The sequence below is a fragment of the Homo sapiens genome, chromosome 3, assembly GCF_000001405.40.
Source record: "Homo sapiens chromosome 3, GRCh38.p14 Primary Assembly".
Taxonomy (NCBI): domain Eukaryota; kingdom Metazoa; phylum Chordata; class Mammalia; order Primates; family Hominidae; genus Homo; species Homo sapiens.
Window position 1 is genome coordinate 183,475,577 of NC_000003.12, and position 24,866 is coordinate 183,500,442.

The following is a 24,866-nucleotide window of genomic DNA, read 5'->3' on the forward strand; positions in this document are numbered from 1 at the left end:
GGGTTAGGCCATCAGATGGGGAAATGGCAGCCTCCATTCTTGTGCTAGAGAGGGTCCTTTAAAAGCTGTGCATAAATGGTTTACTTTTCTTTTCTGAAAGGAGAAGAAAAATGTAGATGGAAGCAAAACAAAAATACAGTTTCCTCATTTTATTATTTTAGATTTTTCTTTTATTTTTATTGATACCTAATCAATGTACATATTTTCTGGGTATATGCGATAATTTGATAGAGTCATATGATCAAATCAGGGTAACTGGGATGCCCATCACCTTAAATATTTGTCTTTTCTTTCTTCTCTTTCTTTCCTTCTTCCCTTCCCTTCCCCTTCCTTCCTTCCTTCTTTCCTTCCTTCCTTCCTTCCTTCCTCTCTCTCTTTCTGTCTTTCTCTTTCTCTCTGCCATACTCTGTCACCCAGGCTGGAGTGCAGTGGCACAATCATGGTTCACTGCAGCCTCAAACTTCCCAGGCTCAGGTGATCCTCTCACCTTAGCCTCCTGAGTAGCCAGGACCATAGGTGTGCAACACCATGCTCAGCTAATTTTTGTATTTTTAGTAAAGACAGGGTTTCACCATGTTGCTCAGCCTGGTCTCAAACTCCTGGGCTCCAGCAATCTGCCTGCCTTGGCCTCCCAAAGTGCTGAGATTATAGGCATGAGACACCTCACCCAGCTTTGTGTTTTCTTTATGCTAGGAACATTTGAATTATTTCCTTCTAACTATTTTCCTTATTTTAAACCTGTGTGGGAAGAGCAGCCTCTGCAGGTAGGATCTGTGAGGTCCCATTCCTCATAGTGGACAAGCAGGGAGATGCCAAATTTAGAGCAAAATTATTGATCTTGTCACAATTTTGTTTTCAAACTATATAACTTACCAAAAAATGTATTTTTTGATCAGGATAATTTAAATTCTCTAACATGTTAGGTTCACTTGTTAAGAGATCTCATTCAATTAGTGAAAATAAAACAGCAATTCTAGATAAAACAGTAAGCCCCAAAATTGAATTTCCCATGTCATTTAATGTCTACACATTATGAGCTATGAAGATGTCCTCTGAGAAGAGATATAATGCTTCCCAGTCCTTAACCTGATTTTCCCGACCTTTCCTACTTTTCTTGTCCTTACCTATTCACGCACTTTACATGTACTCTGATACATGGACTGGGAGTGTTCTAGAGAACGGGGATATGTCTTCCCAGCATATCACAGGACCTCGCCTGGGACCAGAATCATTCTGTTCATTTTCCAAGATCCAATTATCACTTGTAACCAAGGTGAATGCTTGGCAAGAGCCTGTGTCCTGGGTTTGGTTTTAAGGTAGGTGTTTTCCTCTTCTTCTATTATTAAGGCTGTTCATAACCTACGTAATCTGCTTTCTCCCCTTTGTGCTTATGAAAAGTTCGTTTTTGTCTAGGATGAAAACTATGGCAGCCAAATCTCCTCCAAAACTAAGTAATAGCACACCTGCCGTACCCACAGTACTTTTGAGACCCTCTAGTTAGTATTATTGTAATGTATTATTGTAATTACTATCAACAATAGTCATAACAAGTGCTATTTTTTCTTTTTTTCTTTCTTTTCTTTTCTTTTCTTTTTTTTTTTTTTTTTTTTGAGACAGAGTATCACTCTGTCACCCAGGCTGGAGGGCAGTGGCATGATCTCGGCTCACTGCAACTTCCATCTCCTGGGTTCAAGTGATTCTCCTGCCTCCACCTCCCAAATAGCTGGGATTACAGGTGCCCGCCATGCCCGGCTAATTTTTTTTTTTTTTCTAGTAGAGACAGGGTTTTACCATGTTGGTCAGGCTAGTCTTGAACTCCTGACCTCAAGTGACCCACCCGCCTCAGCCTCCCAAAGTGCTGGGATTACACGCATGAGCCACTGCACCTGGCTAACAAGTGCTATTTTTTAGTTCCCATTATGTGCCATGGACTGCACATCATATACATTTTTGCTAATCCTTACACCAACCCTACACAATAGATATTTTTATCCTAATGTTAGAGATAAGGAAACTGATGCTCAGAGAGCTTAAGTGACTTACCCAAGATCACACAGCTAGTAAGTGACAGAGTGAGAATCAGGTCTGACTGCACTCAGGTCTGACGGACTCCGAATTGCCTCCTCTTGCCACTGGGCAATGGGCCTTTGAGTTGTTCCCTCACATGTCTGTGAGGCCAGACCCTGAGTCTGAGATTCTGGGGTCCCCTCAGTGCTGCCAGCTCCTTAGTCCCTAAGACTGTTAGGACCACAGAGCCCATGGCCAGTGAATCCAGCAGGGGAATAAATATGCAGATGATATAAGACAGCAAAAATCAGCCCAGGGCTGGGACTGGAAGGCCTGAGTGAGGAAAGGAACCTGCTCTCTAGGAGTCAGGACACCCCGGTCCTGGCCCTGACTCAGCTCCCACAGGGCCTTCAGCCAGTCCCCACAGGGCCCACAGCCTGGTGGTCAATCACTGTCCCTGGTGGGATACCCTGTGAGCCGCACTTTACTCCCCAGAGAACAAGGGGCTTTGCCTGCAGGATGCTGTCTAAGCTTTTCTGGTTCTGAGAATTCTGGGATTCTTCCAGGAGCCCTGGGGGATGCCTGGTCAATAGGTAACTGTCTCTGCTGCCAGGAACCCAGGGCCTGGGGGGAGACAGGCGAGGGCACGCCCAGAGCAGCTGCAGTTTTTATCAGGAGAGACGTGTCACCCAAGGGCCTGGATAAGACTCCCCCACTTCCGCAGCCCTCCTCCTGCTTTGTCTCCTAGGATAGAATAGAGCACGATAGGATGAGGTGGGACAGATGAGGACTTCACACACTGTAAGGGTAAACATTGTTTCGTCTGCTTGTGTTTGAATTCTATAAATGTATTTCTGTGTTGGGTAAAATTTGCGTCTCCCTGAGGTTGCACTCTAAGGAGTATGGAAAACCTGGCTCTAGACTAACTGGGCCCCCCGTGGTGCTCCAGGCATCCCCACCCTCACCTGTGGCACCTGGAGCTCCTGCTGTCACCGGCCCAGCTGGGTCCTGTGTCTTTCTCTGGTTGTCAGGGCCTGCGCTGACAGTCCCCCCACAGGGAGGTGGAATCTGGGGTTGACAGGGCTGGGAGGATCCTTCCTCTTTCCAGGCTCAGGCAAATCCTCGCCTGGAGGCGGGGAATGGGCTAGATGACCCCTGAAACAGTTCAGTCCAGGGTCTGAGAGCCCCTCTGTGCCCAGCGCTGTGCCCCCTCCCCTTCCTACGCTTCCCTGCAGGGCCCGCGAGAGAGAGGGGAAAGCAGCTGCCAGCTCCAGGCAGTCATTTTACCCCAGGTGCCACTTACCCTGCGGAGGGGCTGGAACCAGCTAATCATTTTACCTGGAGGTGCCACTTACCCTGCAGAGGGGCTGGAATCAGCTAATCATTTTACCTGGAGTTGTCATTTACCCTGCGGAGGGGCTGGAGCTTGTCCGGTTTTCCAGTTCCTGTGTTGCCTGCCAGCCCTGTCTACCCCAGGCTGTGGGTGTCTATGGCTGACAAAGGCCCCTGAGCCAGGCCAACCCCAGCCTCCCAGGGGGTGGCTCTGTGGTCCCTAGCAGCCCCAGCATCATCCAGGGCACAGAGGCCATGGACCCTGGAGACACAGCCCTTCCTATTCATCCAGGGCACGGCTCCCTCTGTCCCTCCATCTCTCCCTCACAGAGCTTTCAGCAAGATAGATGGTCATTCTCCTGTCCTCACTGTTTGCTCCTGGCATAAGGGGACCCCGGGGCTGGATGACTTCCCTAAAGAGGAGTCTCTCAGGGTTTCCTCAGGTGCTCCGAAGTCCTGTCTGGAGGATGAAGGTGGGGGGCACATCCCTGAGGCAGACTCCCCGCTGCCCTCCCTCCACCCTTCACCGATTCCCCATGTATTAGTTTTCTACAGCTATGTAATCAGTTTCCCAAACCTTAGTAGCTTGAAGCAACAAACATTTATTATCTCACAGTTTCTGAGGGGCAGTTTAGCTAAGTGGCTCTAGCTCAGGGTCTCTCATGAGCAGCTTTCAGCCAGGGCTGCAGTTCTCAGACGCCTTGAGGATTAGAGAATCTGCTTTCAAGAAAGCCTCATACTTTCTTGCAAGGTAACAAATAAGTGCTGTAGATCACCTAAGAAAACAGTGCTGTATTACGCTTTGTTACCGAGAACCCGCAAAAGGACAGCCTGGATTATGCTAAACAATGCAAGGGAAGGGTAGGGCAAGTGGCCAAATCCCTGATGGTAGAGGACAAATTCCAAAGCAAAGAAAAGCTGGCAGGACCAATTTATGAATTGTGAAAGCCTAACATTAAGGCATTGTACCATTTTTCCTGCCACAGGATCAGCTATCTTGCAATCAATGGCCTCTAAGACTCAATAATCCCGGGATAGGACCAGCTGCAGTCACTCTAAGAGCTCCCTCTGGGAGGGGAGGCCTGGCAGGGAACCGTGAGGACACAACAGAGCTCTAGGTCTGGCAGTTGAGACAGGAGCTTCTTTCCTTTTAGGAAAATTACCCCAGGCTGTCCTTGGCGGCACCCCATCACTAGGAGTGTAACTAAGGAGCTTGTGGTCATCTTTTGTCCCCTCGTGGACACTTTTAAAAGTGCAGCCCGGCCGCGCACGGCGGCTCATGCCTGTAATCCCCAGCACTTTGGGAGGCTGAGGCAGGCGGATCATGAGTTCAAGAGATCAAGACCATGCTGGCCAACATGGTGAAACACCATCTCTACTAAAAATACAAAAATTAGCCAGGTGTGGTGGCACGTGCCTGTAGTCCCAGCTACTCGAGAGGCTGAGGGAGGAGAATCACTTGAACCTGGGAGGCGGAGGTTGCAGTGAGCCGACATCGCGCCACTGCACTCCAGTGTGGTGACAGAGTGAGACTCTGTCTCAAAAAAAAAAAAAAAAGTGCAGCCTTTCCTCCTGTATGAGAGTCTGTTAGGGTGGAAGTAAACTCAGAAGTCACCTTCAACCACTAGGGGGTTTTATGGCACAGGTCCCTGGCCTTGCACAGATCACAGAGTGAGTTAGTAATAAGTATTTCCAGATTTTTTTTTCATGGTGACTCTAAAGTTGTGACATGCTTGATCTAAAATCTTTGAATCATAGAAGCATGGACTTAGATGAGACCTGCGACATCACCTCACGGCATTCCATATACCCGCTCCCTGCAAGCAGCGATGGGCAGAGCAGAAGCGTTGCCAGCCTTGGAGACCCCCACACTTGCGTTCAGTCTTTACTCTGGGAAGTCTCTGAGCCTCAGTTTTCTCATCCATATAGCATCAATTTACTTCACAGAGTTCATGCAAGAATTAAACAAAATGGTGTACGTCAGAGACTGCAAACTCAAGTGCCTTCGGGACCAAGTAGGTCAGTGGACACTGGCAAACCAGACTTACAAGCCCTTTTCTTTTTTCTTTTTTCTTTTTTTTTTTTTTTTTGAGATGGAGTTTCACTCTTGTTGCCCAGGCTGCAGTGCAATGGAACGATCTTGGCTCACTGCAACCTCCGGCTCCCGCGTTCAAGCAATTCTCCTGCCTCAGCCTCCCGAGTAGCTGGGATTACAGGCATGCGCCATCACCCCTAGCTAATTTTGTATTTTTAGTAGAGACGGGGCTTCACCATGTTGGTCAGGCTGGTCTCAAACTCCTGACCTCAGACGATCCGCCAGCCTCGGCCTCCCAAAGTGCTGGAATTACAGGCGTGAGCCACCGCGCCTGGCTTACGAGCCCTTTTCTAAAGGGAACAGTACCTGTTCTTTTCTGTCCAGTGAAGTAGGGATATGACCCCTGTGTTGCCAATTTTAAAAAATATGGCAGAGTCCAAAAAGGTATCTATGGTTTTCATTGTTCAACCTCTGGCGTGTGTAAAGTGTCCAAGAGGTGATCAATAATGGTGGTGGTAATTACTGGGGTGGCAGCTCCTCAGGACCCCCACACTGCCCCACCCCTACCCATACATTTCTCCCGGTAGGTGTTGATATAGTAACATTCTTGGAGTGTCACTGTGTACCTGGCACTGTGCTAAGTGCTATAGATATAAAAACCAGCAAGAAAACAGCCCCCAGCCCCGTGGGCCTTCAGTCAAGTAAGGACAATTACAGCAGCTAACATGTGCGGTGCATTTACAATCTGTTGGGCGATGAGCTAAGCATTCCACGTGTACGATCTCGTCTAATCCTCACCCAAACTCTATGAGGCATAGTCTATTATTACTGTACTTTCAGGATGAGGTGACTTAGAGTGGAGGTGAGTAACAAAGCCGCAGCCTTTTCTAACCCTCAGCACATCTCCAGGCTTGCTTCCTGCTGAGGATTGCAACCCACCTCCCAGGGAGATGAAGTCTCTAAAATTGGAAATAAAAATTTCAGCACCTAATTTCTAGCTTGCATCTGAATTGCCACACGTTCTTTTACAGGTTTTTTTTTTTGTTGTTGTTGTTTTTTGTTTTTGTTTTTGAGACGGAGTCTTGCTCCGTAGCCCAGGCTGGAGTGCAGTGGTGCGATCTCCACTCACCGCAAGCTCCGCCTCCCGGGTTCACGCCATTCTCCTGCCTCAGCCTCCCGAGTAGCTGGGACTACAGGTGCCCGCCACCACGCCCAGCTAATTTTTTGTATTTTTAATGGAGACGGAGTTTCACCGTGTTAGCCAGGATGGTCTCGATCTCCTGACCTCGTGATCTGCCCACCTCGGCCTCCCAAAGTGCTGGGATTACAGGCATGAGCCACCGCGCCCGGCCTACAGGTTTTTAAAATAGTTTGTTGGTTTGCATTTAGCCATTGAAATTTTTATTAGTTTGTTTTTTAATGTGCTGGATCTCAGGTCACATGATTTTAGGCTGCCAACAAGATCTTTTCAAAAATTAACTGGGCTTCCTGGGGCACACTAACTTAAGAGTTCTGGCTTTTGTCCCCTTTTGCCCATCCCCACTAACACCAGCACTGATGTTCCCACTGTCACCAAGATGCTGAATGGATAAGCGGTCACATGATCAAAGTACTGCCTTCCACCTACACTGGGAATGAGTTGGGATCGTAGCTCCTGGAAAGGCTTCCCCAACAACCCTAGGGTGTGTGAGTAGGCAATTTGGAGAGTCAGCCCCAGCCCACCGTAATATGAGTGCCCAGAACAGGATCATGCCCAAGACAGAGCATGGATTTGGAGAACAAACTCAATATACGTTGGATTCATAAAAACATTGGGCTCAGGGTGGCAATTCCTTGCTGTTACGCACCTGCGAACATAGCTGACTTGGATTTGCAAGCCACAAGCTTAGGTGTGGAACATTTGTGAGTCTCTAGCATTTCTGAACCTGTCTTAAGAGCTATCACCTTACTCTGATGACATTCCAAGTGCTTACACAGGCCTCTGAGACTCCCTACCATGGCTCTGAATTTAGTCCGGCTACACAGGCCTCTTGACTGTTCCTTACTTATTTATTTATTTATTTTTGAGATGGAGTCTCACTCCGTCACCCAGGCTGGAGTGCAGTGGCGCAATCTCGGCTCACTACAAGCTCTGCCTCCCATGTTCAAGCGATCCTCCTGCCTCAGCCTCCCAAGTAGCTGGGACTACAGGGATGCCACAATGACCAGCTAAATTTTTGTGTATTTTTAGTTCAGACAGGGTTTCACCATGTTGGCCAAGCTGGTCGCGAACTCCTGACCTCAAATGACCTGCCCATCCTGGCCTGCCAAAGTGCTGGGATTACAGGCATGAGCCACCGTGCCCAGCCATGACTGTTCCTTAAATACACAGAAGCCTCCCACCTCAGAGCCTCATTAGCTCTTCCCTCTGCCTGGAGTAAGCTTCCCCAGATACTCTCAGGCCTCTCATGCTCTCTTCACTCAAGCCTCTGTTTAAGTGTCTCTATCAGAAAGGTTGGCTGTGTTCATCCTAGCTCAAGTAGCATGCATCACCCTTCCCCTGAGTTACTTTCTTTGGACATTTATCTCTACTTGTCATTATATTATATGCTTGTTTGATTCTTGCCTGTCTCTCTCTACTAGAATGTTAGCTCATGTGAGCAGAGGCTTTGTTTTGTTCACAGATGGACAGAAATCATGCCTGGCACGTAGTAGGCGCTCAATGAATATTTGTTGCATTGTTTCACAAAGACTCACCCCATTCCTTCTTTCACTAATGTCTACTTAGAACTCAGAACAAAATCTAAGGCATCATTTTTCCTACAGATTCCTCCAGTGACCTTTTCCCGGAATGTGACATTCTACCAGAATGCACTTTGACAATTAAAAACCTCAGCATTTCTTCCTAGACTAGTTTTGTCACTGTCCTAATCTTTTTCTTTTTTTTTTTTTTTTCTATTTCTGGCTTGGTCTCATGTTTCAGGGAAATTACTCAATAGATGCTCCTATTACTACATTTTTACTATGAAAGAATAGAATTTCGGCCAGGCATAGTGGCTCATGTCTGTAATCCCAGCACTTTGGGAGGCCAAGGCAGGCGGAGGCGGATCACCTGAGGCCAGGAGTTCGAGACCAGCCTGACCAACATGGCAAAACCCTGTCTCTACTAAAAATACAAAAATTAGCTGGGCGTAGTGGCAGGTGCCTGTAATCCCCGCTACTCAGGAGGCCGAGGTAGGAGAATTGCTTGAATCCAGGAGGTGGAGGTTGCAGTGAGCTGAGATCTCACCATTGCATTCCGGCCTGGGCGACAGAAAAAAACAAACAAACTCAAAAAAACAAACTAACAAAAAAACTCAAAAAACTCAAAAAAAAACCTCAAAAAACTCAACAAAACAAACAAACTAACAAAAAAACAAAGAACAGAATTTCACCAACAAAAATCCTGTTTATCTAAGGCCAGACTTACAGATTTCTCTGCGCAGTCAGGTTTTCCCTCTGCCTTCTGTGTATTGCCGCTTTGTTAAATCAAGATGATATGGTTTGGCTGTGTCCCCACCCAAATCTCATCTTGAATTGTGGCTCCATAATCCTCAGGTGTCATGGGAGAGACCTGGTGGGAGGTAATTGAATAATGGGGGTAGGTTTTTCCCGTGCTGTTCTCGTGATAGTGAGTAAGTCTCACAAGATCTGATGGTTTTATAAAGGGCAGTTCCCCTGCACAGGCACTCCTTCCTGCTGCCATGTAAGACATGTCTTTGTTCCTCCTTCACCTCCTGCCATGATTGTGAGGCCTCCCCAGCCATGTGGAACTGTGAGTCCATTAAACCTCTTTCCTTTATAAATTACCTAGTCTCGGGTATTTCTTCACAGCATATGAAAATGGACTAATACACCAGGCTTTGCCACCCTCATCTCCCCTCACCCCTGCCCTGTCTGCCCAGGTCAGTGCCCTCCAGCCTTGTACCTTTCAGATATGGGTTGTGACCTGTGACCCATTTAGTGGGTGATGAAATTAATTTGGTGGCTTGTGAACAGCATTTTAAGAAAAAAATAGAATAGGAAATACAGAAAATGTGTTTCTTATTGTGATACATGTTCAAGAAAGTTTGAAAGCACTGCTCTGGCCTGTATGGGTCAAAGAAGCTTTAGTACTATTTTTCTCTTTAGTTGCCTTCAGCAGATTCTAGAAGAAGGGGCTTCGGCACTCCTGGCCTCGCACAGTGGGCCTGTGGTGGATTGTAGAAAATGGTCAGTTCTCTTTTAAAATGCTGCCAACAGCAGCGCAGGTGGTGGGCACACCTGTTCTTTTAACTGTATCTGTTTCATAAGGTAAGTATACCTGGGACACTGAAACTCTCAGTACCAACACTCCACTCATACCCTGCGCTCAGAGACTTCACCAAACCATCGCATGGCTTCTAGCAGCCTGAGGCCACGTCCCTGGGATGGCCCAGCCCCCTTTTGAGTTGCTGTCTGGGAAAGCTTAAGGCTGTCAAAAGAATTGAGTTTGTTCCACCAACATCTGACAACAGGCCCCTGATCTTGCTTTTTTAGAGCATTTACTAAAAAAAGGAGGCTTACCATTGTGAATCCTTCCTCTGTTGCTCTGAGCTACTATGTATGTGTTGCCTACAGCTCAGGGGTGTCTTTCTCAAGGACCTGAAAGCCATTCCCCTCAAGGTAATTATCAGGAAGGAGAGAGGATCCTAGCTTCGAGAACTGCCAGCTAGCAGACACAGCTGGTCTCATCATATTGACTCTGCCCAACACTTTGTCATTTTTCACTTCCCTGACTCTACCTGAACCTGCTCGCTCCACCTCCTGCCTCCCTTATTCTCCCTTTAAAAGGCCCAGTCAGCATCTCTGCACAAATCAGAATAGAGCTCAGCTCTTTCCGCTACTGTCAGCAGTTACTGAATAAAATTTGTTTTCACTGCTTTAACTAATGTCCAGCTTGTTTATTTTTATTTTTAAACCATATACGTACACATGCACACGCGCACACACACACACTTCTTCTCAAGACAAACATTGCTTCTCAGAGATAGCTGATTCTTGTCATCCTCATAATCTAGAGTATCTTCCCTTCCTATGTTTAAGTTATAAGTAAAGTTTTAACTGTTCCAGTCTGGTCTTTGATGTTCCTTAGGAAATTAAATGAAGAGTTGTGTATGGGACTCTTTCCTTACAGGGAAGAGTTGGGGCTATGAGGTCCAAATTTCCGTGCCCACTGGGAGCTTCTCCTTCCACTGCCAAACGTGGAGGAACCAGGATTCGTGTTACAAAGGGAGATTTCCAGTTGTCTTACACATCAAAGGCCACCCCCTTTTCCCTCTACCCAGCTTTAACTTTCCCAAAGAATTTATAAGCAGGAAGTCTCATATTCTCTATCCAGGCAGATGAGTAGAGATGGTTGGGCATGGGTTTCAAGGCAGCGTTTCATGTGGGAATCAATAACAAAGCAGACATCTGAATGTGCAAAGAGAAAAGGAAAATCCCCAGGTGCCAGTAAACAAACATGGAAGTGAAAAACAGAGTGACTGGTAAGCAGCCAGGCCAATGGTGGGGAGACTGGGGAGGGTGGGACTGGACCTGGATTCATCCCCAGCACCAAAGAGTTTTCAACTGTGGCCACATGCAGGAACGGAACATAAGGCATGGGCCTATGGAGGGCGGGAGAGAACTGAGATCCTGTATGAAGGCTGCACGTCCAGTGAAAAGGAGCTGGTCCAGAAGATGCCATACACCAGCAGGGAGGAGCTGGTGCAGGGGGAGGCACTAAGAAAAGCTGGGCAGATGCCTGGCCCCGGCCAAACTGCCCAGACATGAGATTATCACTTAGACCCAGCGGGGAAATTGGAAGGCTCAGCAGCAAAGTTAAGGTCAAAACTCCGTTTGACTCACAGCTGGTGCACTGGCACTCAGATCCAGGGCCCAAGATCACTCCAGAACATTCCCCACCAGTGAGGAAGCTGGGTCTGTGATTCCCAAGGGTTTCCACCAAGAAGTCCTAAGGCAGAACATCTACCTCTGGGGATGCCCAGAGGGGAAGGTCTGAAGCTATTCATGGAACCCCAGATTTCTTTAAAGCCTCTGATTTTCCTTTTCAAATACACAGGAGTCTTGCATTGTAACCAAAACAAACTAAATTGATAACAAGGTTTCCAGTGATTAAAGGGAAGTCTCATACCCCAAGTTACACGTGCCCCAATTTGAGAAGCACAGACCAGGGAGGGCTTCAGAGACAACACAGGAACAATGGTGGACGCAGGCTAAAAGGTCAGACCTGTAATCAAAAACCTAGAAGGGGGTCTCCTGTAAGAAGAGCTGAGGCCAGGCAAGAGAAGAGTCACGCAGTTTGCATATGGGTTGGTAAAAGCTTGCTCAGCGAGGCAATGCATCTTTAGGGAGGGAAAATCTGTCTACTCTTTGACATTCTATAAATCAAACCTGGTGAATTTTAACCTATGAACTTATCTAAAGTCCCATGAACCAAATGAAACGTTTTAAATTTCCACCTTCTAAATTAATTTCTATTCAGACACCACTCATTTATATAAACTAAAAACAGCAAAAAAAAAAAAAAAAAACTTCATGATTGTATATAACACATTTGCATCTGTTCTGTGCATATTTTATTGAATAAATAAAAATTTTATTGGTTTGGTTTTTAAAACCTATAAACAATATTCTTAGTTTGATCACTTAAAACATACAACTTTATGTAACCAAAATGCTTAAAGGATTTTGTTCACTGAGTGTTGGCTATTTATACCTATACATATGAAAATCTGACCTGTCAAAACTGGTTTTGCAGTAGCCAGATTTGAGATATATGTGGATTTCTAAAAGGTTAACTTGTCAAATTATGAGATCTAATACAACACCCAGGTATTAAGGGAAAAAATGATTTTGCAACCCCAAGTTGGGACTTAACATAAGAAATCCTTATGGTGTTGCCAACGTTAAAAATTCTATTGAGCACTTTCATTTTTCAGAATAAAACAGGATAAGCAAATAACTCACAACAGTACCTCATAGTCTTCTATAAATAGCTAAGCTATACTTTACAGCTATAAGAACGTGATATTTGTATTTCCCTGAGAGCGTAGTTTGCTTTGAGTTCAAGGGCATGGTGTATGTGTATATGTGTGTTTCCCGAAGCCATTGAGACCAGAATAGATGAAAGCTAAGACGAGAACATGAATCTGTTGGTGTTCTGATGAGCTTAGCTCCCTGCCTGTTTCAGATCAACCTTGGCAACTGGAGTCCCTTAACCTCATCTACAGATTCCGCTCCACCAAAGACTCTGGGCCACCTTCCCTCTAGGACAGGAGACCCAGCTGAGCAGCTCAGAGGCCCCACAGTAAGTTGGCCCAAATGCTGGGCCTGCTCTAACTTGTGCCTCTGCTCTAAGAAGGGGATTCCTTCCTTAGTTCCTTGCCTAGAATACTCCCTTACCCTTATTCTCCCTCACCCTTCTTGGGACTAGAGCCAAGCTCACAAACTCCAGGGCCTCCGATATCATTTTCCAGACCTGCATCCTTGGAACCTGACCTCCTCCTACCCCATCTTCTTCTTCCCAGCCAGGGGTGCTCTGTCCACTCACAGGCCCTGCCTCAGTCTCCAGTCTGCTGTGCCAGAACATCCTGCCATGTCCTGCCTGAGTCCGAGGGTTCTTTGTCTCTGGGTTTATTCTCAGCTTGGCTTTCCCCCTGCTGATGGTGTGGGTTATAACAGTTACCTTCCTGCAAATGTGTTCGTCTTTATTTCTTGAAATGGATTTTAGATTTTAGAAGTTCTCATCCTTGGCTGGTGCCTAGAAGCTAAAACCCTGATGACTATTCTTAAGTTTCCCCCAAATGACTTGAACTTTCTTTCTCGAAGAGCTACAGACTGGCAGCTTCATATACAGAACCCTAGACCTTCTAACCAGGTGTATCTGTTCCCTACCCATGCCATTATTAGGAATCCCTATTTCTTGAGTGTCAGCTACATGACATTTTCCACAATTCACCTGCATATCTGGTGTTGTAAAAAATCATAAAGAGTGTTTCCATGATTCATTTAGGTATTCTGAAGTAGTCCAGAAACTTGGGTCCTACATTTAGAATCAGGTTTATAGCACAGAAATCCCAAATCCTCACTTTCCCAGCATAGGGTTGACCTGCTGATGGGCTCGAAGTTTGCCTATGGGTCTTATCAAAGGACCGCCATCCCCTCCCTGACTAGGGGCGCTGTCTTTTTGAAGGGAGGCTCCCTGTGTATGCCAGTACCATTGTCATTGGATTTCCTCTCTGGAAGTTCCTCCCTGCAATAGTCTTTGGAGTAAGACTGACTTTTCCTTCACAAATCAGTTCACAAATGGTTCTGGTGGCGATCTCAAAGAGACAAACATGTAAGCCATGGCCACTGGTTGACTTCACTGCACAGCTTACCACCTTGACCCCCTGAAAGGCAATCAAGACTTGGATCCAGCCTCCTCACTTCATACGCATCTCATTTTTAGCTAACTTGAAGAAAATAAAAACAAGAATATTAACTGGTGGCCTATTTACCTGTATTGAGTGTCTAGCGTGGAGATTTGCCATTCGTGGGTGTCCTCAAGGCTTGACAGACATGAAGAACTCCATGAATGTTTGCTGAATTGAACTAGATTACACTGTTACATTGCTTCAGTTGGGAGCTTCCTGATGGTTATTATAGTGCTCATGAGTCAGCAATAGTTTGTTCTAAAATTCCACAAATATGTTTCTATTGCCCTGTGTTACTTTCCACAGCAGAGAGCTGAACTGTCACGCTTCTAAGGCACAGAGCATTTCACACACCAACATACATTTATATTTATCTTCAATAATCTGGCATAAACAGAAATCTCACCTGTAATTTTTCAAGTTTTTAAAATCTGTTTCAAATATTAGCTTCTTCTAACCGTGACTGTTTAATGAAAATTCAATTCACTATCAACTCTAATAACTAACTTCCCAAACTGCTGAAAAGAACAAGCCACACCGGATATGAAATAAAACTCTATAAAGAGAATTGAAATCATATGATGAAAATAAAGTCCATTGGGTAACGCAGTTACTATGTTGTTATCATTGTTGCTTTTTAAATACAGCATATGAAACAGGATCTCTTAACCTGTTTCTCCAGCTTGGGGATTAGAATGAATTTCCAGTGAGCTCATTTGAAAGCTGTAGCTCTTACAGTGAAGGACAGATTCTGTTCTTTAAGTCACAATTGAGCTACACTGATCAAAAAACCAAGTAGAAGTGCTTTTTAAAAGTCTTGAAAACGAAGGCTTCAGGAGGATGGGGTATCAGGAACGTGGACCTAAATCACTGTGTAAAAACTAGAAAGTGTACCATCAAGGAGAATCTGTCGCTCCTGTGTAGGCCAGCTGTGCTCAGGTGTTTACTTTTTTAATAAAACAGTAGTTTGAGTCTCTAGAGACATCTTGTCTATATTGCAGTACAACTGGTGAACACTAAGAGGCCAGGGCACCAGAATGTGCTAAAGGTACAATTCTGTCTGGCAATGACAGTTCCGGTCCAAAATGGGCCATCTTATGATCATTTAAAAAAAAAAAGACCGGGCCCAGTGGCTCACACCTGTAATCCCAGCACTTCGGGAGGCCGAGGCGGGCAGATCACAAGGTCAGGCGTTCAAGACCAGCCTGGCCAAGATGGTGAAACCCCGTCTCTACTAAAACTACAAAAATTAGCCAGGCGCGGTGGCAGGTGCCTGTAATCCCAGCTACTCAGGAGGCTGAGGCAGGAAAATCACTTGAACCAGGGTGACAGAGGTTGCAGTGAGCCGAGATCATGCCACTGCACTCCAGCCTGGGCGACTTCATCTCAAAAAAAAAAAAAAGAGGGTTTCAATGGGAGGAGGACAGAACACAAGTATTTCATCTCTTTCAAAGCAAACAGGCCTTCCCAAGCCCATCCCCCAGACCTTTCAAGTGGAAGAACCTATGAGATGTTCTTGGCAAGGAGCCCAAATGACTCCTTGGTTTAAATATTGGTAAAGGGCGGGGACGAGGGAGGATGCAGAATAAGAAAGAAAAGGAAAGAAAGCAGGAAACACCTTTATTTCCCTGCTGTGCTGAGTGAATCTTTTAGCAGACTTGCCGAAACAAGAAATGAGCCAGGTTTCTTTGTTTTTGTTTTTGTTTTTGTTTTTGTTTTGAAGACAGAGCTTCACTTTTGTTTCCCGGGCTGCAGTGCAGTGTGGCGATCTCGGCTCACTGCAACCTCCACCTCCCAAGTTCAAGTGATCCTCCTGCCTCAGCCTCCTGAGTAGCTGGAATTACAGGCGCCTGCCACTGCACGCGGCTAATTTTTGTATTTTTAGTAGAGACGGGGCGGTCTCACCATGTTGGCCAGGCTGGTCTTGAACTCCTGACCTCAGGTCATCCGCCCGCCTCAGCCTCCCATAGGGCTGGGATTACAGGCGTGAGCCGCCACGCCCAGCAAGAGCCAGGTTTTGTTGTTGTTTTTTGTTTGTTTTTCCTGCTCTGAGATAGGCAGCATGGTGGAAAGAGCATTGACTTCGGAGATGAAAGACCTGGATTTTAGACTCCTGGGGTAGCTACTTGCTATCTGAGTGATCAGGGGCACGCCACTTAGCCTCTGTGAAACTTGGTTCCCTCACCTGTAAACTAGAAGTGATAAGAGCCAGTCACCAGGTTAAATGAACCGATAAAAGGAAGTGCCTGGCACAGAAGCCGGCATAGGGTGGGTGGGTCCTGAATGCTAAATATTACTCTTCCTCGCCTCCCCTCCTGAGGTAGGTCATGCAAACATTCCTGGCCGGTCTCAAGTGACCCCAAACTGTGACTTCCAAGGTTCCCCCAAAGTGAGTCAAGGGGATCCCCTGATGTATGGCCTCAAACTCGAGCCTGCTGCCTGAAGTGGGACTGGAGGAGGGTGAGAGGTGAGGCGGGTACGCTGAGGGTCGGGGGGGCTCTCCAGCTCCCCATCCTGCCGTCAGACAGACACTGCTCCGGGCACGATCCTGCGGATGTGGGTGTACGACTTCCTGATGGTGACGCTGCCGTGGTGCGACACGCCCCGGGGCAGGACGCACTCCTCTGTCAGTTTCTGGGCCTCGGGGTCCCAGCACAGCACCGTGGCGATAACCTCGTTCTTCTCGTCCCGCCCGCCGGTGATGTAGAGCCGGTTGTTGCAGGGCGCGATACCGCAGCTGGCCCGCTCGTGGCTGAGCTGGGTCACCAGGCACCAGCTGTCTTCCAGCGGGCTGTAGGCGTACAGCGCTCTCATGGCCCCACCTGAGGAGAGGGAGGAAACACGGTGGGCATCGCTCCATTTTTCTGGTTTCTTCCCTCTTAACCACTAAAATTCAACTTCTGATTAGGCCAAGTCTACCCTCTTGCCAAGAGAAACAGTCGATTGATGGCTCTCCTGAAAGCCAGAGTGGGTCCTAGGGGCAGTGAGTTGCCAGCGCTGGAGACACCGCGACACACCGTTTACGTGCTGCAGCCAGGCGCTCATCAGGTTCTAAGCCATTCAGACCAATAAGAAGCCATTACTCACCAACGACATAGATGCGGTCCCGGAAACTCACTGCATTGATGCATTTAGCCTCCACGGGCATGGCCGCCTTCAAACTCCACTTGTTGGTGGAAGGGTCATAACACTGAGTCTTGTCTGTGGCCAGTTTCCCATTGGGCCCTCCCCCGATCACATACAGCTTCTTCTTATGGCTGGTGGCTGCAAAGGAACTGACATGGACAAGGAGGGGTGCGGCCTGTAGAGGCACAGGGCACAAGAAGAAGCTGTCAGTCATGCTGCCCAGATTGCTGCAGTAGCTCCCAGGATACAGGACAGAGCTCCGGGACACAGAACTGGGCATCTTTTGCCTATAGTCACAAGGCCCATGGGCTTGACTCCTCTTAAGACACAGCAAGAATGAAAGCATGCATTTCCCACCCTCCCTCCAGGCTCCACGCAAGCTAGAGCAAGCTGTGTGTTGGGATGTGCCAGCCTCTCCCGGAATCCAGCTCTCAGGCAAGAATAAGTTTATACAGATGAAGTCAGCCAGTGTGGGAGGAAAATGATGTTTTATACATGCATATTCATATTCATTCATGTGCTCATCCACTCGAAAAATATTTATGGAATGCCTACTATGTACCAGCATTGATTTTCCTTGGTGCTTATATCTAGGAAGAAAAGCTGAAACGGTGGCCACAGGTAAGCAGACTCTTCCATTATGGGGCAGCATTGAGGATTTTGAGATTAAGTCAGACGTGTGCTTCTATCCTGTGAACCCCAGGACAGTAAAGGAGACTTCCAAGAGCCTCTTGCCCATTTATTTACAGGATCCTTTTAGATCGTGGAGCAGCTCTGTGATAGGGCTTGTTTTGAGAAGATCCTGGGCATGTCCCCCATACATGTTAAGGGCTCTCAATATAGCACTTTTCAGGCTGACAGTCTTGGCTAGATGTGGTGACCTGGCTACCTTTGCTTGTGCCTACAATGACTGTGTTGTACATTCCATTAAGCTGGAACATGCTTGGACATCTGATCTGATAAGGAGAAAGAAAATTTGAAACTGGGAATAACCTGGAAATGAGATGAGGTGGCTTTTCTTTTCCTGGGTCTGATATATACCTGAGGTTGCATTACTAAAGTCTGACATGCAGGCCTGTAAGTGGCTCATCATCCATGGGAAAATAAAGAAGGGATGATTTCTAACATGACCAAATCACTCTGGGTTCATAAACGGTGTAGTAAAGTGATCCGCATGTGTCCAGTGTGGAGAAGAATAGGAGAGAAGGCATCTGAGGAGACAAGACTCTACACCAAGACATGCAGACCAAGAGATCTCCCATCTAAGGACAGGGTGAGCCTCTGTGCACATCTGGGGTTCTGTCCAAATTAGGACAGGTGCCCACACAGACCTTCACCACTTGGAAGGACATTGTTTCTGTGACTTGATCAGCAATACTGAAGCAATAGCTCCTAGGAGGAGGGAAGCTCAGAGCCACCAAAACTGTTCTCCTTGGAAGTAAAGTGATCAGAAAGCTGACCACCACGGCAGGCACGTTCCAAAGCTTTTTAAAAAAGCACTGAAGTAATAATACAGGCAGTTACTGGTAGAAATCGTGTCCTATACCTCTGACCAGCAGTTGTGAAAGGGGTCGTAGGTCTCCACATTGTTGATTCTCTGTAAGCCGTCAAAGCCTCCGATCACATAGACCTTGCCACCCAACACCACCATCTTATGCCTCCAGCGGCCTATGTTTAAATACTCAATCTGAATCCACTTGTTGATCGAAGAATTATATTTCCAAACATCATGCTGTGTTTCTTTGCCACCTGCAAGAGATACAAAGCATTTAAGAAACCATCAGATGTGTCAGAAATACAGCTTCTCCCATAATATCCCACATGTCCAAAAGTGCCAGGTCCCCAGGCCAGCCCTACCCTGAGGGGAGATACAAGAAACCCAGCAGGTGTGTGATGTCTGGCAGGGGAGATGAGGCAAATGCAGGGGAACAGGGAGAGACAGAATGGATGATGTGCCACACTGTGTCATGTCCACCTCAGTGCTGCGAGAGTTCAGAGAAGAGGTGGCTAAGTGAGCAGTGCCCTGAGAAGGCTTCAGGGGGCAGGACCCAAGCCAGCCTGGGTGGGTAGGGACCAGAGGGAGCCTGGACTCAGTGTTTGCCCTCACAGGGAGCAGGAAGCAAGGCTGGGCGGGGACAGTGGGGTTTGTGCAGAAGGCAAATTACATGGCAGCTTAAATTCTATGTTTACTTTTTATTTAAACCAAAAAGCAAAGATACAGACCTGGAAAAATCACTAAGAAATCCTACAACATTCTCCTGGTTTGTCGCTCTGATCTGTTTAAAACAATCAGTGGGATTTATCCTATTTCTAAATAATTTTTGTTATAAAAGTATGAGATGCTCACAATAGATCATTTGAGAGTGATCTGGTAAACATTTTCTTGAAGGCAACTCTCTTAAAAAACAGAAAATACAAAATTCAGCAGCTGGGGAAAGAGACAAAGACAAAGGAGAACTGACTTTTTGGGTGATTTTAATCAAATATTTAACAGCTTTGTGTTTCCATTTTCCCATCAGCATAGACTACCACCAACTACTTAAAGCAAAGATTTACTTTTCAGACTTACATGTGTGCAATAGTGGAGAAATGAACATTACTGACCACATTCTGTGTCAGGGGTGTTTCTCTAGCATGGAACCCAGAAGTGGGTTTACTAAGTCAAAGCCATGTGCACCCTGAATTTTTATAGGTGCAGCCAAGGCATCCTCCGCAGCTGTGGTGGTTGACTTTTCCTCATACCCACTTTTTGTTGGTGGTGGTGGTTTTGTTTTCTTTCTTTTATTTATTTATTTTTTTGAAGTCTGACGGAAAAAAACTATGTCAGTTTGGTTTTCGCTTACTATGAGGGAAGCTGAGCTTCCTCTTCCTTGAATCTTTTGTTCATATAGTTTGGCTATTTTCCTTTGGGTGGGGTACCTTTCAGAGGTCTCCATTTATTCAAAACATTGATCCCATTTAGGTAGCATCAAAAAGTATAAAATAAATGTAAATTTTCAAAGAAATGTATGCAACCTTTATTAAAACCTATGATTTTATTTTAGGACAAAAAAAAAAAACCCTGAGAAAGCATATTGTGTGCATAAATCAGAAGACACCTTATTGTGAAGATGTCAACCCTCCCTAGGTTAATCTATATACTCAGTGCCTTCAAGACTTTTGAGGGGAACTTGATGAGATAATTCTAAATTTCACTGGGAAGAGTAAGTTTGGAAAAATTTCTAAGAAACTTTTGAAAAAGAAAAGGGAAGAAGGAGGCTTTCCTTATCAAATATTAAAATATACTATAAAGCTATCCTAATACAAACAGTGCAGTACTAGACAAACTGATCAGTTAAAAACAAGAGCACAGAAACGGACTAAAATATATACAGATCATTAAATAAATGTTATTAGAACAATTGGTTATTCATTTGGATAAAGATTAAGTTAGATACTTATTTTACATTACATTTAAAATAAAATTCAAATGTTACTGCTACAGAAGTAACTGGAAAATGTATAGGATATTATGTTAATGACCTTGGGGTTAGGAGGGGTTTTCTAAGCATGACATGAATGTAGAATTGTATAGGACAGAAAACAAGTATATAAAGGTAAAAAACAACCACAGTCTAGGAGAAAATATTTGCAACACAAATAGCAAAGGATATATAAGAAGAGTTCCAAAAAATTAGTAAGAACAAGACAAAAACTGATAGGAAGTGTCAAAGAGTATGAACAGATAATTTTTAAAAATAAATACAATTATCTGGTAAATATATATTTACCATTCTAGTCTATTAAAAATTTAAATGACTAATAATAAAAATCGTTAGCAAGGATATAGAAAATGAGCACTGTCATTCATCACTGATTGAACTGTAAATTGGTACAACTTTTCTGTAGGAAAATTTCACAATATATACAAAATTCTTAATTCACATATGACCACTTCCAGGAAACTTTCCAAGTAGCAGCACAAGTATGAAAAAATATGTGTCTAAGAATGCCTACTGCAATATTTTTTAAGGAGACCAAAAAAAGAAAGCTAAAAAAATTATGGTTTATCCATTTGGTAGACTGCCATATAGCTGGTAAAAAGAATAACAGTAGTGATAATACTGGCCAACATAATTAAGCTCCCACCATGTGCTTTGCATGTAATAACTATATCACTTGATATGTATATCCATTAAACCAACATGTCATCATGTCCAGATGATATTGTTAATTGAAGTACAAGTTTCTGTTGATTTAGCCGTGTATAACAAGCATGCTTTCAGGTATTGCTTGTATCATTAAAAAGTGAACAACAAATTTATGACAAAAGAATAACATGTGGGCTGGGCACAGTGGCTCGCACCTGTAATCCCAGCCCTCTGGGAGGCTGAGGTGGGCGGATCACCTGAGATCAGGAGTTCAAGACTAGCCTGGCCAACATGGTGAAACCCTGTCTCTACTTAAAATACAAAAAAAAAATTGGGCCGGGCGTGGTGGCTCACGCCTGTAATCCCAGCACTTTGGGAGACCGAAGCGGGCGGATCACTTGAGGTCAGGAGTTTGAGACCAGCCTGTCAATATGGTGAGCCCCCCACCTACCAAAAATACAAAAATTAACCAGGCATGGTGGTGGGCACCTGTAATCCCAGCACTTTGGGAGGCCAAAGCAGGCGGATAACCTGAGGTCAGGAGTTTGAGACCAGCCTGGCCAACATGGTGAAACCCCCTCTCTACCAAAAATACAAAAATTGGCCAGGCATGATGGCATGTGCCTGTAGTCCCAGCTACTCAGGAGGCTGAGGCAGGAGAATTGCTTGAACCTGGGAGGCAGAGGTTGCAGTGAGCCGAGATCTCGCCATTGTACTCCAGCCTGGACAACAGAGTGAGACTCCATCTCAAGAAAAAGAAAAAAAGAATAACACGTGTAGTATATGTGACAAAGACTGACTATGATGACCACACCTGTTGATCCCTCCTGGGCACACAGCTAAACTACATTTCCCAGGTCCCTGCACCCAGAGGGGGTGAGGGGAGGGTAAGGGAGGTCATGTGGCTAGTTTTTGCCAATGGAATGTGAGCAAAATTGATGGCACTTCCAGGCTGAGGCTTTTATGAGCAGGTGTGACTTCTCAACTCCCTTAGCTTTTTTCTTGTCCCTAAATCAAGGCCATGTGTAGGAAGAGGCAGTGTCAGAAGATGGCAGGCCCCTAGGCCCCTGAGTGCCTGAGTGGAGCAGACTGTCCTGCCCCGACCCCTGCATACTATTGTGTTAATTCACTGAGACTTAGGATTTGTAACAGCAGCTAAAATTATTTACCCTGAGCAAATAGAAAACAATTTTTGTAAAAAATGAAAACCCATAGAATTGTGATGGCACAGAGAAACTGCCCTATTTTACTTTACGTGCTCAGTATTGTTTGGATCTTCTACAACAATTAAGGCCGGGCGCAGTGGCTCACGCTTGTAATCCCAGCACTTTGGGAGGCTGAGGCGGGTGGATCACAAGGTCAGGAGTTCAAGACCAGCCTGACCAACACTGTGAAACCCCATCTGCACTAAAAATACAAAAATTAGCCGGATGTGGTGCCACGTGCCTGTAATCCCAGCTACCTGGGAGGCTGAGGCAGGAGAATCATTTGAACCCAGGAGGCAGAGATTGCAGTGAGCCGAGATCACGCCACTGCACTCCAGCCTGGGCAACAGAGCTAGACTCTGTCTCAAAAAAATAAAAAATAAAATAAAATAAACGTCTACAAGATTAAAAGAAAGCTAGAACCTAATCAATGGTATAAATGCATCCAAAGAATGACCTGCCCTTGATTTTGGAGGAAACACGCTCTGGGGTCCAGCTTTCCCCACAAGTTCAGATTCAAGAAAAGCCTCTAAGAAAGGGGAAGGGAAGCTTGTCTCCTTCCTTAGGGTCCCAGGGAGAGCCAGGTGGCTTTTGATGTGATGGGGAAGAGTGTGGGCGTTAGGCTTAGAACTTGGGTTGAAGTCCTGCCTGACACCTACCAGTGTGCGACCTTAGGTATGTCTGAGTATCTCTCTGAGCCTCTGTTTTCTCCTACCTTAAAAACACCTACCTTGCAGAGTTGATGTGAGAGGCAAGCAATTAAATGTTATTAAAGTATAAATGTATCTCCCACTCAGTAAAGATGGTTGAGACTGCGTCATTCAATAAATATTTACTGAACATTTACCCCGAGGTCAGGCACAGTGCTAGGTACAGGGGCTATAGTGTTGCCCCTCATGGAACTCCAGGTCTAATGGGAAAGGCAGACACAAAGTAACGATCAATACTGAAGCAAACACTTTCGTAATGAAAAAGTATTGGGCCCTACTGAACTATACCCAAGTACAACCTAATAGACATGGGAGGGGAAGGGCAGACGTGTTTACTCATTACTGAATTCCCACTGCGTAGCTCAGGGGCCTATGCCTATAGCAGACACTGAATAAACCCTTACCACTTTCCCTCTTCTTTTTCTGGGAAGGACTAGACTTGTCTGCCTCCTCCCCAGGTTTTCTATTAATAGTACAACGCTGGCCGGACGAGGTGGCTCACGCCTGTAATCCCAGCACTTTGGGAGGCCGAAGCTGGTGCATCACCTATGGTCAGGAGTTCAAGACCAGCCTGGCCAACATGGTGAAACCCCGTCTCTACTAAAAGTACAAAAATTAGCTGGGCATGGTGGCAGGCACCTGATTGTAATCCCAGCTACTCGGGAGGGTGAGGCAGGAGGGTCACTTGAACTCGGGAGGCGGAGGTTGCAGCTAGCCAAGATTGCGCCACTGCACTCCAGCCTGAGCAACAGAGCGAGACGCTGTCTCAAAAAAAAAAGAAAAGAAAAGAAAAGAAAAAAATAGTACAATGTTGCTCAGTTTTTTGTTTATTAAGTAGCAATGTACTCTCCAAGATAAGACCACCTGAGCTCCTGGGTCCATATCCTGTCTCAGTCAGAGCCGGATCATTGCCAATTCACAGTAATTCTTCTAGGATGGTTGCCTGGCTGCCACTCAGGAATATATGTAGTGCTACTGGAGCTTGCTTTGCCTTTACATGACTCCTGCTTACCTGAGATGTAGACCTCATTTTTCAATGTCACGCATGCAAACTCCACCCACTTCTTATTCTCACTCTCCAGCTCATGCTCTGTTAGCGGGAGCTTGGCCACCTCCAGGCGGCTGCGCCTCAGGGGGTCCAGGCAGGTCACCTCTGCCACAAACCGTTCATCCTTCGTGCAGCCGCCAATGATCATGAACACCTCAGACTGGAACTCATGCATCCTGGGCTTGGTGCGTTCCGAAATGATCTGGAAATCGATGGGGGTACATGAAGGCAGGGACAACACAAAGTTTCAGAGCTCGGGCTATGGAGCCATTAGGAGTCGGGTCCAATTCCCATATCTGCCACGGTATGACCATGTGACTTCACCTCCCTGAGCCTCAGTTTCATCATCTGTATAATCGGGATAGCAGAGGTAACTACCTCATAGGTGTGTTGTGAGGGTTAAATGGGATAATGTACACAGTGTGCTTCGCCCAGGACCTGGTGCATAACAGGTACTCAATACATGTTGCCTGTTTTTGCTGCTGTTTTAAGAGGTGAGGGTCTATTTACTATCAGATGCACTTCCTGCCTTTCCTCTCCTGCCTGCTCTGAAACCTTAAATCCTGGAATTTTATTTGGCGCTACTTTCCATTCCCCCTTGGCTTTAATTTCTTGATGATACCTCAGACTTTGCTCACCATCAGCCTTCTGGAAGAGACATCCTGGACAGTGACAACGTAAGAGCATTCAGAGACTTAGGAAACAAGAACTAGAAGGAATCAGGGTGTGGCCAGGGAGGGAGGAAGGCTGGTTCCAACATACAGCATATGACCTTTCAGAGCTTTGAACAAGTGAAGAAATCCATACTATGGGTATT

General features: G+C 45.9%; 1 protein-coding gene across 3 annotated transcripts in view, besides 3 other annotated features; it reads right to left on the reverse strand.

The window, feature by feature from the left end:
- Positions 2,623-3,158: an enhancer, noted in NCBI's record as "H3K4me1 hESC enhancer chr3:183195987-183196522 (GRCh37/hg19 assembly coordinates)". NCBI's record gives its function as "activates a minimal SCP1, AML or CMV promoter by ChIP-STARR-seq in primed H9 embryonic stem cells {active_cell/tissue: H9 hESC(primed)}" and the evidence as "EXISTENCE:reporter gene assay evidence [ECO:0000049][PMID:30033119]".
- Positions 4,855-4,904: an enhancer, noted in NCBI's record as "active region_20889". NCBI's record gives its function as "activates an Ori minimal core promoter by ATAC-STARR-seq in GM12878 lymphoblastoid cells {active_cell/tissue: GM12878}" and the evidence as "EXISTENCE:reporter gene assay evidence [ECO:0000049][PMID:35858748]".
- The window catches only part of KLHL6 (kelch like family member 6), a 68,156-nt gene continuing 55,264 nt past the window's right edge, over positions 11,975-24,866 (reverse strand). For 2 of the 3 annotated variants that reach the window (NM_130446.4, XM_011513273.4), the window contains 4 exons: positions 24,014-24,251; positions 18,503-18,705; positions 16,918-17,131; positions 11,975-16,652 (listed from right to left, as the gene is read on the reverse strand). In NM_130446.4, coding sequence (NP_569713.2) covers positions 16,351-16,652; positions 16,918-17,131; positions 18,503-18,705; positions 24,014-24,251 — 957 coding nt within the window. In that variant the 3' untranslated portion in view covers positions 11,975-16,350. Of the gene's footprint in view, positions 18,706-24,013; positions 24,252-24,866 lie in introns of all 3 variants that reach the window. The other variant, XM_011513274.4, reaches the window with a different exon arrangement.
- Positions 23,382-23,578: a silencer, noted in NCBI's record as "fragment chr3:183216746-183216942 (GRCh37/hg19 assembly coordinates)". NCBI's record gives its function as "represses an EF-1alpha promoter that drives an FKBP-Casp9 reporter gene in an ReSE screen in K562 erythroleukemia cells {active_cell/tissue: K562}" and the evidence as "EXISTENCE:reporter gene assay evidence [ECO:0000049][PMID:32094911]".